Consider the following 16,907-nt stretch of genomic DNA (forward strand, 5'->3'; position numbering starts at 1 on the left):
CATATATTCATATTTATATTTACATATTCTAATTAGGATTATATACATGTACTTTCTTTAAAAATAAGATTTTAAATAACTATATAATCAGTCATGATGATACAACATGATTTATTCAACAAATCTGATGCTGTTAAACACGTAAGTGATTTCTCTTTCAGGATTATAAATAACATTTGTTTTGCATTTTTTTCATACATCTTTTGCTCACTTTTCATTGTTACTTTGTATATGTTGCTAGAAATTGATTTGCTGGTGAAAAGGGTATAAACATTTTTAAGGCTCTTGCTACATATTGCCTGCTCTTCATACATATTGCCTACTGCCCCAGGAAACTATCAATTACACTTTTACCAAGAGTGTATGAAAGCATTCACATGAATGTAACCTTATCATGCAATGCGGGCCATGAGACAGAGGAGAGTTATGGAGGGTAGACGGCTTCCCCGCTGCTCAGCCACTGCCCTCTCCTCTAAAAGAGCCACAGTCAGGAATTTCTACATAGATCCTATTATAAACATCTCCTTTTGAAACAAATTATCTTCTCTCAGAGCATTTTCTTCATTTTAGTATCTATATAGGTCCTTGTTATGTTCATTTTAAGTTTTGTGACCTGCACTGACACAATGCTGATGAACTGCTTATTCCAGGCAGTCTGAGTTCTCAAAGCATTTGCATTTTATGTCTTATCCTCTGTTTTGGGCTCTTTGCCACTGATTTTTTTTTAAGTGATATTTTAAGAAAGAGGAGGGTTGATTTGTTGTGAGTGTATCTCTCTTTAAAAACTTTTCTAGGGAAGGACAACCTCTTCCAAAGACTTTGTTTGCTTTGTGTGATTGGCATGTCCTTCCCTGGTCAGTAATGAGCTTGAAGGAAGCTACTGGACACGGGACTGAACATGGGGTTTTGCTATCACTCTAGCTGTGCCTTTCTCTAGTGATCAAGGAGATGTTGGTTCAGAAAGTGCCCTGTCTAATCCCACTAAGGCCCGAAGGACCAAGTGCTGTCTACTCTCCAGATTCTCTGCAACAGAAAGCAGATGCTTAGGCTTCATGGTCCAGGTTGGAACAGGTAGTTAGCTCTGAGGACAGTTATGCATGAATGTCAGGAGGGGACTGGCAGGGGAACATTTATTTATTCTTTAAAATTGGAATCAACAGTTATGGATGAAACCCAGAATGCAAAATTCACTTTCATCTTGACACGCAACACATCTGTCCTTTCTCCTTGAATAGCAAGTATTAATCATTGAGTTAGACAATGTAACCTTCACATTCAGTGAAAGCCAAACACTCAGCACCTTCTAGAAAAATCTTAGTGCCATGCTTTCTTAGCATATTGCAAGTCCTCTGAGGATGATGTGTTGTTCAGCTTTGAAGCTGATCTTTTGTACTTGCTTATGTAGCTCAGGCTAGTGATAACATGCCAGAGGCATTTCCAACTAAGAAAATTATTCACAGAAGCTTTAATTACAAATTTGTTAGCCCCACTTCCTGCTAAAATGGCCAGCCTTGAAGAGTTTCGGAAATGTGAGCAGCCTTAAGGATGATAGAAATATTATGAAATAGTAATAAGTAATACCCATACAGCAAACTCCTTTTTCTTTGGAGTATCCGTTCATCAGCCAGATTTCCCTCTCAACAGTCCAGGTGTTGACGAAGATCATGAAATAATAGGAATGAAAGGGACTTCGATTTTGTATTTTTAATAGCATTTTCCTCCACCAAATTACGAAAGTAATGCATGACCAAGGCAGAGAACTTGGAAAATACAGAAAAGCCACCAAGCAAAATAATCTCCCAAGAAATCATAATTTCACCACACAAAAGTAACCATTGTCAACATTTTGGTGAAAATCCTTAATTAAAGAGACTCTTAAAAGATGCCAGTTCGCTGCCACTTCTTCCTTTCTCCACACCATCCTGCACCCTGTTTTGAAATGCAGAATTGTTTCTAAATCATTCCAGGAAAATTATTAGTTTTCTCAAATATCTCTGGAGGCGAGTCTGTTGGCAGTCATTTCTAGTTTCTCACAAACCTTGAAGTTAGGAAATTATTTGTGTAGCTTTTGAGCACTGGGCCAGAAGTGAGGGATGTTTGGGTTCTAGTTCCAGCTCTACCACTTATTTACCAACTGGCCGACCTCAGGCAAGTCCAGGCTAGCGGCCCCGCCTCAAGCCCCTCCAGATGCAGCATCTGCAACCCCACTTCCTTCACTTCCTTTCGCCTCAGTTTCCCAACAATTTCCTAGTAATTGTACTGAATCATTGTTTTTCATTTTTTACATTAAAATTTATTTATTTTATTTTATTTTTAAAGACTTTATTTTTTAGAACAGATTTAGATTTGCAGCAAAACTGAGTGGCAAGTACAGAAAGTTCCCATATATTCCCTGCCCCCGCACATACACAGTCTCCCTCACTATCAGCATCCCCAACCAGAGAGGTACATTGGTTACAGCTGATGAATCTACATCGACACGTCATTATCACCCAAAGTGCATAGTTTGCATTGGCGTTGGGCATTTTAGGGCTTTTGACACATGTATGCACTATTGTAATATACAGAATAATTTCACTGCCCTAAAAATCCTCTGTGCTCCTCCTATTCATTCCTCCCTCCACCCCATTCCTGGCAACTACTGATCTTTTTACTGTCTCCACAGTTTTGCCTTCTCCAGAATGTCATATACTTGGAATCATAAGGTTTGTAGCCTTTTCAGATTGGCTTCTTTCACTCAGTGATATGCATTTAAGGTTCTTCCATGTCTTTTTATGGCTTGATAGCTCATTTCTTTTTATCATTGAATACTACTACTCCATTGTCTGGATTATACACACTTTATTTATACATTCACCTACTGAAGGATGTGTTGGTTGCATCCAAGTTTTGGCAATTATGAATGAAGTTGCTGTAAACACCCATGTGCAGGTAATTGTGTTGATATGCATTTTTAATGCTTTTGGATAAACACTCAGGAGCACAATTGCTGGATTGTATAGTATGTTTAGTTTTGAAGGAAACTGCCAAACCATCTTCCCAAGTGGCTGTACCATTTTCCATTTCCACCAACAATGAGTGAGAGTTCCTGTTGCTCCACATCCTCATCAGCATTTGGTGTTGTCAATGTTCTGGATTTTGGCCATTCTAACAGGTGTATTGTGGTATCTCATTTTGTTTTAATTCGCATTTTTTGGATAATATCACATGGAGCATCTTTTAATAAGCTTATTTGCCATCTGTGTGTCTTCTGTGGTGAGGTGTCTGTTAAACTCTTTGGTCCATTTTTTTAATCAGGTTGTTTGCGTTCTTATCGTTGAGTTTTAAAAGCTCTTTGTATATTTTGGATAACAGTCATTTAGCAGGTATGTCTTTTGCAAATATTTTCTCCCAGTCTGTGGCTTGTCTTCTCATTCTCTGGAGATCAGTGGTTTTTACACTTTCTTCTGCTGAAGCCAAGTATTGTGGAAGAAGCCATGGGGTCACCAGAGGATAGGTGCACAGGGTAGTGAGGGAAAGTTGGAGTGAATGGGCTTGGTGCCCCCACCCCGCAACATTTCTCTTGCTTTAATCAGAGAAGTTTGACTTCATCCAGATTGCATATGAGGACTTTACATGAGGTTCACCTTTTTATTTGTTTTAAAAGGGGTTTTTACTCTCAAAATGTTTTAAAGACCACTGAACTAGATGATCATCTTAAGGCCCTTTTAAGATTTATGATTCTGGAATTCTGTGGCTCTATTTTTCCAATGTAATATAACCTTCCTCTCGTTAAGGAAAAATGAGATAAACCTGTTATAAACACTCATGTGACATTTTTTCAATACAGTTTTCATCCACGTAGTGCTCACTTAGAATGATAGAAACAATACACCTAAAGAATATGCACCATTCACTTGCCCACTCATCTCTCAAAGAGAGGAACTTTCAACACTAGTTATCTTTTTAAAAATAATCAGAGAGAATTCTCAGCCACTTCAATTCTAGCCCAGGAAAAAGAGGGAAAATACATTTGAAGGTTTCTGGCTCATGTGATACATTTGCAAACCAGAACCAAGATGATATGACTCTCATTTATTAGTGACTATTGCAAAGCTTTGCAGGCTATTAAGCAGGCTGTTCAATTTAGGGTGATATGGACATGTGCATATTGGCCAATTATATATGCTCAGATCGTATGTCATTTTTTTTCTGCATTTTAGTCTAAGTGTCAGATAGGTGTTTCATGATGTTTTATAAACACTTCTGTTCACATTAACATTGTTCATTGATTTGGCAAGGAATGAAGGGGTGTCATTTTCATGATTTTATTTGTATATTATGTATTCCACAGAGGATTTGAAATGCCTTACCAAATTTTATGTAATGTAAAGGGGTAAACCAATATTTGACACATCATTATAAATTGAGGATAATCTGAAGAAAATAATAAATCCAGGAGACAGATTATCACACTGATATGGTTTGGCTCTGTGTCCCCACCCAAATTTCATCTTGAATTTTACTCACATAATTTCCATGTGTTGTGGGAGGGACCCAGTGGGAGATCATTTGAATCATAGGAGTGGTTTCCTCCATGCTGTTCTCATTGTAGTGAATAAGTCTCATGAGATCTGATGGTTTTATCAGGGGTTTCCACTTTTATATCTTCCTCATTTTTTCTCTTGCCACCACCATGTAAGAAGTGCCTTTCGCCTCCCACCATGATTCTGAATTCTGAACCCTCCCCAGCCATGTGGAACTGTAAATCCAATTAAACCTCTTTTTCTTCCCAGTCTTGGGTATGTCTTTATCAGCAGCACGAAAATGGACTAATACAGTAAATTGGTACAAGGAGTGGGGTGTTGCTGAAAAGATAGCCGAAAATGTGGAAGCAATCTTGGAACTGGATATCAGGGAGAGGTTGGAGCAGTTTGGAGGGCTCAAAAAAGACAGGAAAATGTGGGAAAGTTTGAAACTTCCTAGAGACTTGTTGAATGGCCTTGACAAGAATACTGATAGTGATATGAACAATAAAGTCCAGGCTGAGGTGGTCTCAGATGGGGATGAAGAAACTGTTGGGAAGTGGAGCAAAGGTGACTCTTGTTATATCTTAGCAAAGAGACTGGTGGCATTTTACCCCTGCTGTAGAGATTTGTGGAATTTGAACTTGAGAGAAATGATTTGGGGTACCTGGTAAAAGAAATTTCTAAGCAGCAAAACATTCAAAAGGTGACTTGGGTGTTGTTAAAACCATTCTGTTTTAAAAGAGAAACAGCATAAAAGTTCAGAAAATTTGCAGCCTGATGATGCAGTAGGAAAGAAAAACCCATTTTTTTGAGGAGAAATTCAAGCTGGCTGCAGAAATTTGCATAAGTAACAAGGAGCCAAATGTTAATCCCCAAGACAATGGGGAAAATGTCTCCAGAGCATGTCATAGGTCTTCATGGCAGCCCCTCCCATCACAGACCCGGAAGCCTAGGAGGAAAAAAACAGTTTTGTGGGCCAGTCCCAGGGTCCCCATGCTGTGTGCAGCCTAGGAACTTGGTGCCCTGCATCTCAGCTGCTCCAGCTATTGCTAAAAGGGGCTGAGGTACCACGGTTTCAGAGGTTGCAAGCCCCAAACCTTGGCAGCTTTCATGTGGTGTTGAGCCTGTGTGTACACAGAAGTTAAGAATTGAGGTTTGGGAACCTCCACTTATATTTCAGAAGATACGTGGAAATGCCTGGATACCCAGGCAAACATTTGCTGCAGAGGTGGGGCCCTCATGGAGGGCCTCTGCTAGGGCAATGAGGAAGGGAAATGTGGGGTTGGAACCCCCACACAGAGTCCCCACTGGGGCACTGCCTAGTGGAGCTGTAAGAGGAGGACCACTGTCCTCCAGACCGCAGAATAGTAGATCCACTGACAGCTTGCACCATGTGCCTGGAAAAGCCACAGACACTCAACGCCAGCCTGTGAAAGCAGTCAGGGTTGGAGGTGGTGGTGGCTATACCCTATAAAGCCACAGGGGCAGAGCTGCCCAAGACTATGGGAACCTACCTCTTGCATCAGCATGACCTGGATGTGAGACATTCAGTCAAAGGAGATATTTTGAAGCTTTAGAATTTGACTGCCCTGGTGGATTTTAGACTTGTGTGGGCCCTGTAACCCCTTTGTTTTGGCCAATTTCTCCCATTTGGAGCTGCTGTATTTACCCAATGCCTAAACCCGCATTGTATCTAAGAAGTAACTAGCTTGATTTTGATTTTACAGGCTCATAGGCAAAAGGGACTTGCCTTGTCTCAGATGAGACTTTGGACTGTGGACTTTTGGTTAATTCTGAAATGAGTTAAGACTTTGGGGGACTGTTGGGAAGGCATGATTGCTTTTGAAATGTGAGGACATGAGATTTGGAGAGGCCAGGGGTGGAATGTTATGGTTTGGCTCTGTGTCCCCACCCAAATCTCATCTTGAATTATACTCCCATAATTCCAAAGTGTTGTGAGAGGGACCTGGTGGGAAACAATTTGAATCATGAGGCCAGTTTCCCCTATACTGTTCTTGTGGTAGTGAGTAAGTCTCACGAGATCTCATGGTTTTATCAGGGTTTCCGCTTTTGCATCTTCCTCATTTTCTCTTGCTGCTGCCATGTAAGAAGTGCCTTTCACAAGCATAAGGAAGAAGTATACTTGCTGGAGCAGCAGGCTGTCCTTCTTCTGACGATATGGACTGCAAGTGCCTATGTTTACTTTGACCAAGACGGCCTTTCTTTTCACAGAAAGCCAGGGTTCACCCCTTGAATTTCATAAGACCTCTCTTTGCAGTGGGTTAGATACTCTTTTATATTTTTATACTCTGTCAGGAAAACATTTTTTTTTCCATTTAAAAATCAGTCTTTTGGTTGCTTCCAAGATGGCTGAATAGGAACAGCTCTGGTCTGTAGCTCCCAGCGAGATCGAAGCAGAAGGCAGGTGATTTCTGCATTTCCAACTGAGGCACCTGGTTCATCTCACTGGGACTGGTTGGACAGTGGGTGCAGCCCACGGAGGGTGAGCCGAACTGGGGCAGGGTGTCACCTCACCCACAAAGTGCAAGGGGTCAAGGGATTTCCCTTTCCTAGCCAAGGGAAGCTGTGACAGACTGTAGCTGGAGAAACAGTACACTCCTGACAAAATACTGCACTTTTCCCCACAGTCTTGACAACTGGAAGACCAGGAGATACCCTCCCTTGCCTGGCTCAGTGGGTCACACGCCCATGGAGACTTGCTCACTGCTAGCGCAGCAGTCTGAGATCAACCTGCAATGCTGCTGCTTGATGCGGGGAGGGGCGTCTGCCATTGATGAAGCTTGAGTAGCTCACAGCGTAAACAAAGCAGCAGGGAAGCTTGAACTGGGCAGAGCCCACCTCAGCTCAGCAAGGCCTACTGCCTCTCTAGATTCCACCTCTGGGGGCAGCACATAGCAGAACAAAAGGCAGCAGACAGCTTCCGCAGACTTAAACATCCCTGTCTGACACCTCTGAAGAGGGCAGTGGTTCTCTCAGCACAGTGTTCAAGCTCCAAGAACCAAGAGACCGCCACCTCAAGCAGGTCCCTGACCCCCATGTAGCCTGACTGGGAGACACCTCCCAGTAGGGGCCGACAGACACTTCAAACAGGCAGGTGCCCTCTGGGACGAAGCTTCCAGAGGAAGGATCAGGCAGCAATATTTGTTGTTCTGCAGCCTCCGCTGGTGATACCCAGGCAAACAGGGTCTGGGGTGGACCTCCAGCAAACTCCAACAGGCCTGCAGCTGAGGGGCCTGACGGTTAGAAGGAAAACTAACAAACAGAAAGGAATAGCATCAACATCAACAAAAAGGACATCCACACCAAAACCCCATCTGTAGGTCATCAACATCAAAGACCAAAGGTAGATAAAACCACAAAGATGGGGAGAAACCAGAGCAGAAAAGTGGAAAATTCCAAAAACCAGAGCGCCTCTTCTGCTCCAAAGGATTGCAGCTCCTCACCAGCAAGGGAACAAAACAGGATGGAGAATGAGTTTGATGAGTTGACAGAAGTAGGCTTCAGAAGGTCGGTAATAACAAACTTCTCCAAGCTAAAGGAACATGTTCTAACCCATCGCAAGGAGGCTAAAAACCTTGAAAAAAGGTTAGATGAATGGCTAACTAGAATAAACAGTGTAGAGAAGAACTTAAATGACCTGATGGAGCTGAAAACCACAGCATGAGAACTTCGTGATGTATGCACAAGCTTCGATAGCTGATTTGATCAAGTGGAAGAAAGGATATCAGTGATTGAAGATCAAATTAATGAAATAAAGTGAGAAGACAAGATGAGAGAAAAGAAGAGTGAAAAGAAACGAACAAAGCCTCCAAGAAATATGGGACTATGTGAAACAAACAAATATATGTTTCATTGGTGTACTGGGAAGTGATGGGGAGAATGGAACCAAGTTAGAAAACACTCTTCAGGATATTATCCAGGACAACTTCCCCAACCTAGCAAGGCAGGCCAACATTCAAATTCAGGAAATACAGAGAACACTACAAAGATACTCCTCAAGAAGAGCAACCCCAAGACACATAATTTTCAGATTTAAAAAGTATGAAATGAAGGAAAAAATGTTAAGGGCAGCCAGAGAGAAAAGTCGGGTTACCCACAAAGGGAAGCCCATCAGACTAATGGGATCTCTCAGCAGAAACCCTACAAGCCAGAAGAGAGTGGGGGCCAATATTCAACATTCTTAAAAATTCTTAAAAAAAGAAGAATTTTCAACCCAGAATCTCATATCCAGCCAAACTAAGCTTCATAAGTGAAGGAGAAATAAAATCCTTTACAGACAAGCAAATGCTGAGAGATTTTGTCACCACCAGGCCTGCCTTAGAAGAGCTCCTGAAGGAAGCACTAAACATGGAAAGGAACAAACAGTACCAGCCACTGCAAAAACATTCCAAATTGTAAAGACCATCGACGCTATGAAGAAACTGCATCAATTAACGGGCAAAATAACCAGCTAACATCAGAATGACAGGATCAAATTCAAACATAACAATATTAACCTTAAATGTAAATGGGCTAAATGCTCCAATTAAAAGACACAGACTGGCAAATTGGATAAAGAGTCAAGACTGTGCTGTATTCAGGAGACCCATCTCACGTGCAAAAATGCACATAGGCTCAAAATAAAGGGTCGAAGGAAAATCTACTGAGCAAATGGAAAGAAAAAAAAAAGCAGGGGTTGCAATCCCAGTCTCTGATAAAACAGAATTTAAACCAACAAAGATCAAAAGAGACAAAGACAGCCACAACAAGAAGAGCTAACTACCCTAAATATATATGCACCCAGTACAGGAGCACCCAGATTCATAAAGCAAGTCCTTAGAGACCTACGAAGAGACATAGACTCCCACACAATAATAATGGGAGACTGGGAGACACCCCACAGTCAATATTAAACAGATCAACAAGACAGAAGGTTAACAAGGATATCCAGGACTTGAACTCAGCTCTAGACCAAGTGGACCCAATAGACATCTACAGAACTCTCCACCCCTAATCAACAGAATATACATTCTTCTCAGCACCACATTGCACTTATTTTAAAATTGACCACATAATTGGAAGTAAAACACTCCTCAGCAAATGTAAAAGAACAGAAGTCACAACAAACTGTCTCTCAGACCACAGTGCAATCAAATTAGAACTCAGGATTAAGAAACTGACTCAAATCCACACAGCTACGTGGAAACTGAACAACCTGCTCCTGAATGACTACTGGGTAAATAACAAAATGAAGGCAGAAATAAAGATGTTCTTTGAAACCAATGAGAACAAGGACACAATGTACCAGAATTTCTGGGACACATTTAAAGCAGTGTGTAGAGGGAAATTTATAGCACTAAATGCCCACGAGAGAAAGCAGGAAAGATCTAAAATCGACACCCTAACATCACAATTGAAAGAACTAGAGAAGCAAGAGCAAACAAATTCAAAAGCAAGCAGAAGGCAAGAAATAACTGAGATCAGAGCAGAACTGAAGGAGACAGAGACACAAAAAGCCGTTCAAAAAATCAATGAATCCAGGAGCTGGTTTTTTGAAAAGATCAACAAAATTGATAGACCACTAGCAAGACTAATAAAGAAGAAAAGAGAGAAGAATCGAATAGATGCAATAAAAAATGATAAAGGGATATCACCACCGATCCCACAGAAATACAAACTACCATCAGAGAATACTATAAACTCCTCTACGCAAATAAACTGGAAAATCTAGAAGAAATGGATAAATTCCTGGACACATACACCCTCCCAAGACTCAACCAGGAAGAAGTTGAATCTCTGAAGACACCAATAACAGGTACTGAACCAAGGTTTGGACCAACCAAAAATGTCCAGGACCAGATGGATTCACAGTTGAATTCTACCAGAGGTACAAAGAGGAGCTGGTACCATTCCTTCAGAAACTATTCCAATCAATAGAAAAAGAGGGACTCCTCCCTAACTCATTTTATGAGGCCAGCATCATCCTGGTACCAAAACCTGGCAGAGACACAACAAAAAAAGAGAATTTTAGGCTAATATCCCTGATGAACATCGATGTGAAAATCCTCAATAAAATACTGGCAAACCAAATCCAGCAGCACATCAAAAAGCCTATCCACCAAAACCAAGTCAGCTTCATTCCTGGGATGCAAGACTGGTTCAACATACGCAAATAAATAAATGTAATCCATCACATAAACAGAACCAATGACAAAAACCACATGATTATCTCAATAGATGCAGAAAAGGCCTTTGACAAAATTCAACAGCCTTTCTTGCTAAAAACTCTAAATAAATTAGGTATTGATGGAACGTACCTCAAAATAATAAGAGCTATTTATGACAAACCCACAGCCAATATCATACTGAATGGGCAAAACCTGGAAGCATTCCTTTTGAAAACCAGCACAAGATAAGAATGCCCTCTCTCACCACTCCTATTCAACATAGTGTTGGAAGTTCTGGCTAGGGCAATCAGGCAAGAGAAAGAAATAAAGGGTATTCAGTTAGGAAAAGAGGAAGTCAAATTGTCTCTGTTTGCAGATGACACGATTGTATATTTAGAAAACCCCATTGTCTCAGCCCAAAATCTCCTTAAGCTGATAAGCAACTTCAGCAAAGTCTCAGGATACAAAATCAATGTGCAAAAATCACAGGCATTCCTGTACACCAATAATAGACAAACAGAGAGCCAAATCATGAGTGAACTCCCATTCAGAATTACTACAAAGAGAATAAAATACCTAGGAATCCAACTTACAAGGGATGTGAAGGACCTCTTCAAGGAGAACTACAAACCACTGCTCAACGAAATAAAAGAGGACACAAACAAATGGAAGAACATTCCATGCTCGTGGATAGGAATAATCAATATCACGAAAATGGTCATACTGCCCAAGGTAATTTATAGATTCAGTGCTATCCCCATCAAGCTACCATTGACTTTCTTCACAGACTTGGAAAAAAACTACTTTAAAGCTCACATGGAACCAAAAAAGAGCCTGCATAGCCAAGACAATCCTAAGCAAAAAGAACAAAGCTGGAGGCATCACGCTACCTGACTTCAAACCATACTACAAGGCTACAGTAACTAAAACAGCATGGTACTGGTACCAAAATAGATATATAGACTAATGGAACAGAACAGAGGCCTCAGAAATGACACCACACATCTGCAACCATCTGATCTTTGACAAACCTGACAAAAACAAGAAATGGGGAAAGGATTCCCTATTTAATAAATGGTGCTAGGAAAACTGGCTAGCCATATGTAGAAAGCTGAAACTGGATCCCTTCCTTACACTGTATACAAAAATTCGCTCAAGAAGGATTAAAGACTTAAATGTAAGACCTAACACCTAGAAGAAAACCTACACAATACCATTCAGGACATAGGCATGGGCAAAGACTTTATGACTAAAACACCAAAAGCAATGGCATCAAAAGCCAAAATAGACAAATTGGATCTAATTAAACTAAAGAGCTTCTGCACAGCAAAGGAAACTATCATCAGAGTGAACAGGCAACCTACAGAGTGGGAGAAAATTTTTGCAATCCACCCATCTGACAAAGGGCTAATATCTTTGTAGAATCTGCAAAGAACTTAAACAAATTTACAAGAAAAAAACAAACCCATCAAAAAAGTTGGCAAAGGATATGAACACCTTTACACTGTTGGTGGGAGTGTAAATTAGTTCAACCATTGTGGAAGACAGTGTGGTGATTCCTCAAGGATCTAGAACTAGAAATACCATTTGACCCAGTGATCTCATTAGTGGGTATATACCCAAAGGATTATAAATCATGCTACTATAAAGACACATGCACACATATGTTTATTGCAGCACTATTCACAATACCAAAGACTTGGAACCAACCCAAATGTCCATCAACGATAGACTGGATAAAGAAAATGTGGCACATATACACCATGGAATACTATGCAGCCATAAAAAAGGATGAGTTCCTGTCCTTTGCAGGGACGTGGATGAAGCTGGAAACCATCATTCTAAGCAAACTATCATGAGGACATAAAACCAAACACTGCATATTCTCACTCATAGGTGGGAGTTGAACAATGAGAACACATGGACACAGCACAAGGAACATCACACACCGGGGCCTGTCAGGGGTTGGGGGGCTGGGGGAGGGATAGCATTAGGAGAAATACCTAATGTAAATGATGAGTTGATGGGTGCAGCAAACCAACATGGCACATGTATACCTATGTAACAAACCTGCACGTTGTGCACCTGTACCCTAGAACTTAAAGTATAATAAAAAAAAAAGAAAGAAAAGAAAAGAAAAAAAGAAGTGGCTTTTACCTCCCACCACGATTCTAAGGCCTCTCAGCCATGTGGAACTGTAAGTCCAGTTAAACCTCTTTTTCTTCCCAGTCTCGAGTATGTCTTTATCAGCAGCGTGAAAATGAACTCATACACACACACAGAAGTATATCTTTACAGTTCCCAGGATGGACTGCAAGTTTGGCTCTAAATTTCCTTTGCCTGGCCAAAACAAAAAGAACACATTTTATTATAAGGTTCACAGGCTTTTAATTGAAAAAAAAAAAAAAACAGTTATTCAACATGAAAACTCTTTTTCAGACAAAGTTCTACAAAGTCTATTTCTCACAAGTAGGACTTTGGCAAGGATTGTGCAACTGACAATTCAAAGTCATTTATTCCGTGGTGAGAAACCGGAGTACAGATCTTTACCAGTTAGGGGATGATCCATGTGTTTTGATAATCACCTTGGTGGTGATCAGACTAAAGGTCTCCTATGAAAACCATTAACTTCACACTATAGCTGATAGGATGCACTGAAGCCCTTACCGCTGACTGCATGGATGAGAGCTAGGCCAGAGCATTGGCAGGCAGAGTTTATAACATGGGGCAGGAAGCATTGAAATTCTATTCCACCTCTTGGTGTATCAGGTCAGGAGTCAAATCTCCTATCTTCCTCTTCTGGATCGCTTTCCTCCTGAAGTGTCTGGCATAGATGTCTAGGTATAGCTTGGCATGGTGGTGTGTGCCTATAGACCCAGCTACTTGAGAGGCTGAGGTGGGAGGATTGCTTGAGCGCAGGAGTTTGAGGCTGCAGTGAGCCATGACCACACCACTGTACTCCACCCTGGGTGACAGAGCAAGACCCTGTCTCTCTTTCTAAAAAAACAAAACAAAACAAAACAAAACAAAAAGAAAAAAAGATGTCCAAGTGTGTTCTGGTTACTGCTGCTGACTGCTAAATTTAACAGCTAGAAAAAAAAAGTTTGGACTCTATGGATCATAAATTTGGATAAGACACAGAGGGAATGGCTTGTCTCATGTTCACAATGTCTAAAGTCTTAAATGGGGAGAGTCGTCAACCAGGGGTAATTTGAGAGTTATGGGCTGGAACCACCTTGAGGCATCTTTATTCATAGGCTAGCAATTGATGTTGGCTGTTGGCTGGGACGTCAGCTGGAGCTGTCAACTGGGAGACCTGTCTGATATCCCAGCATAGGACACTAGACCTCTCACAAAGTGGCGAGGGCTCCAGAAGCAAGTGTCCCAGCTGACAAAAAAAAAAAGTTTCATAGCCTTCTACGACATGCACTTAGAAGTGGTAATGTGTCACTTCCAGCCCTTTCTGTTGATTACAAGTGAGTCATGAGTCCACTCAGTTTCAAGGGAGAGGGCCCAGATCCCATATCTCCATGGGAAGAGTGCCAAGAACACCTTGTAGAAAAGCTTGTGGATAGGAGATATTGGTGTGGTCATCCTTGGAAAACACAATCTTCCACAGTGTGCAAGAGAGGCTTCCTGCTCTGCATTGTGGCTTAATTATTGTTGAAATACCAGGCAAGAAAAGGTAGGATCCAGGGAAACAAATGTATCCAGGATGTTTTGGTCTGCCTTTTCTAGGAAAAAAGGAAACCCTCAAAGCCTCTGAGACTAGGTCACCCCAGTGGGACTAGAAGTTCCACGTGGAACCTTCTGCAAACTCCTCTGCAATAGATGGACTGTGCATTTTCCAAATGTGTCTTTACATCATCTCCTTTCTGACCTTGGGAAGATAGTAACTGACTGTGGAGTAGGAAATCCAGAACCCTGATTGTTTTAAAATATATTACAGATACAAGTAATGAAAAGAAGGCTCCTAAGGAAAATATAGATCCGTAATGGCTTTGTCCCAAAAGCTATTAGGCTATAATATTTTATTACAAAGGCTATATTTATTACAAAATGTATTTAAATAAATACTTAATATTTATTTAAATAAATAATATTTATTTTATTATTAATAATTAATATTTAAATAAATATAATATTTCTTACAAAAATTAAAAACTGGGACTTTATATTTAAAGGTGAGACATTAAATTCTTTTTAAAAAGTGCACATGTAAGATTTTTTTCTCAAGTCAACTGAACCAGTTCATCAGTTTCACTATGAATGTGTTGATGCACCAAGTATTTACTTTCTAGAACATCTAGTAGACGTCACTAAAAAATTATACCAAGTTGAAAAATGTCACTGAATCAGAGGCATGTGGTTGGTTATGTAGTCATCTGTGCCAGCTGGGAATATAGCAATACCAAATGAACAGCACTGCCATGTTCCCTTGCTGGGTTCCAGCAAAAACACTCATCTTCACTGTCGTCTCTCTTTGAGACCTCTTAGAGAGGACTTTGATGAGTGTATGGTCTTATACACACTAGTCTAACAATACACATTTGCTCAAGGATTGGGTTACGAGCAGGCTCTTCACCTTTCAGGTGAACAATTACACATCAGGAGAAGGATGGAAGTTTCCTATCTATGAACAAATATTTCCCAAAGCAATAATCTCTTTATTCAACTCACGTAATGAGAAGTCAGTTCCTCTGTGCCATAAAGCAATCTCTTTGAAGTCTTCAGTAATGTTGAGGGTTTTAATGTTGAGGGCTTTATCAAACTAAACATTCAAGTGTCTTAGGCTTTCCCCTTAGTTCTTTGAGCAAATTGGTTGCTATGAAGTATGTTAGTGTTCCGAATGAATGGATAGCATGATGGGGGATGTCTAGGTGGTTCCAGAATTTAGATTGTGGTTTCCATAACAAAGTGTGGCAGTATTGGCATTAGGGAAGAGAAATGACTTCTAAATAACTTCTCAAAGTTTACTAAAGCCTTAAGAATGTAGGAAATGGCCACAAAAGGAGGTATACAAAACATTCCTCTGTCTTTATTCCTCTTTATACAAACGTATTCACTTTCCCATCAGCAAGTCATAAAATACTTCTCATCTTGCATTACAGTAGGACACCTACTATAACAATAGGCTACAAAATGTATAATGGCTCAAACACCTAGCAGTTTATTTCTTATTTACTTAACAATGCTGGGTCCACGAACATGTTGATATCATAACCCTCTTTTATGTGGTCACTCAGGGACTCAGGCTGTTGAGGGCTCTGTCATCATGAATGGGTGGCTTCCAAGGTCATCCTAAGAGTTATCTCCATTCTAACCAGTCCAGCCAGAAAGGCAGAACAGGCTTGGAGGAGCAAAGATATCCATGGATAGATCATCCTCTTAAAGTCATTGTAGCATTGTGATAGGGCTCTTTTCACAAAACAAGGATACAATCCATGTTTTCAAGATTTTACATTTTAGTAGCCACAATACAAAGAAGCTAAGATAGTCTTGTGATTTGTCATCATGGCTGTTAATGGAGAGTGTTTTAAAAGCACTGATATCAGGGCTCCACCCTCAGCTTCCAATCATCAGGTTTGGATGGAACCTGACAGCTGCATCTTGTAAAACTCCACGGGAGATTCTGAGAGACAGCCAAGTTTGAGATTCACAAACCTTAAGAGAAAAAATCTCCTTGAATTGCCATAACAAACTACCAGTCTAATAAAACATACATATTCCTTTGACTACTCTTAAATGAAACAAATAGGTAATAATTTACCTGTACATATAATTAAAAATGTAATGTATTTTATAACCATCATATAAAGGAGAAATTATATTAAACTATATTAAAATAAAATGATATATATTTCAATGCAGATGCCCAAGCTTGACTAAAGTAGGAAACATAATAAAGTAATAAAATGCTTATATGTACTTATAATGAATGTTTGGCTATGAGAAGATGATCAGAGGCTTTTTGTCCAAGAAGTACAGGCATATGAAAAAGTAGAGCAAGAGATGGACACCAGACTGAGAAAACTAAAAACTAACCAACCTATTTGTGTATGATAAAAGGAGAGAAAAAAAATTGATTAGTAAAAATATGCTACCGTGTGGTCTGAATGTTTGTCCCTTCCAAAACTCATGTTGAAATTTAATCCCCCATGTGGCAGTATTGAGAAGTGGGACCTTTAAGAGGTGATTGGTTCAAGAAGATTCTGCGCTCATGAGTGGTTGA

At 40.3% G+C, this 16,907-nt stretch overlaps 1 protein-coding gene across 30 annotated transcripts in view; it reads left to right on the forward strand.

Annotated features, from left to right (window-relative positions):
• The window catches only part of ESR1 (estrogen receptor 1), a 472,948-nt gene that overhangs the window by 414,964 nt on the left and 41,077 nt on the right, over positions 1-16,907 (forward strand). For 5 of the 30 annotated variants that reach the window (XM_011535547.3, XM_047418291.1, XM_047418292.1 and 2 more), the window contains one exon: positions 7,157-13,595. The exons of the other annotated variants lie outside the window; for them this stretch is intronic. In XM_011535547.3, coding sequence (XP_011533849.1) covers positions 7,157-7,239 — 83 coding nt within the window. In that variant the 3' untranslated portion in view covers positions 7,240-13,595. Of the gene's footprint in view, positions 1-7,156; positions 13,596-16,907 lie in introns of those variants that run through there. 30 annotated transcript variants of the gene reach the window in all.

The sequence above is a fragment of the Homo sapiens genome, chromosome 6 (genome assembly GCF_000001405.40).
Source record: "Homo sapiens chromosome 6, GRCh38.p14 Primary Assembly".
Taxonomy (NCBI): Eukaryota; Metazoa; Chordata; class Mammalia; order Primates; family Hominidae; genus Homo; species Homo sapiens.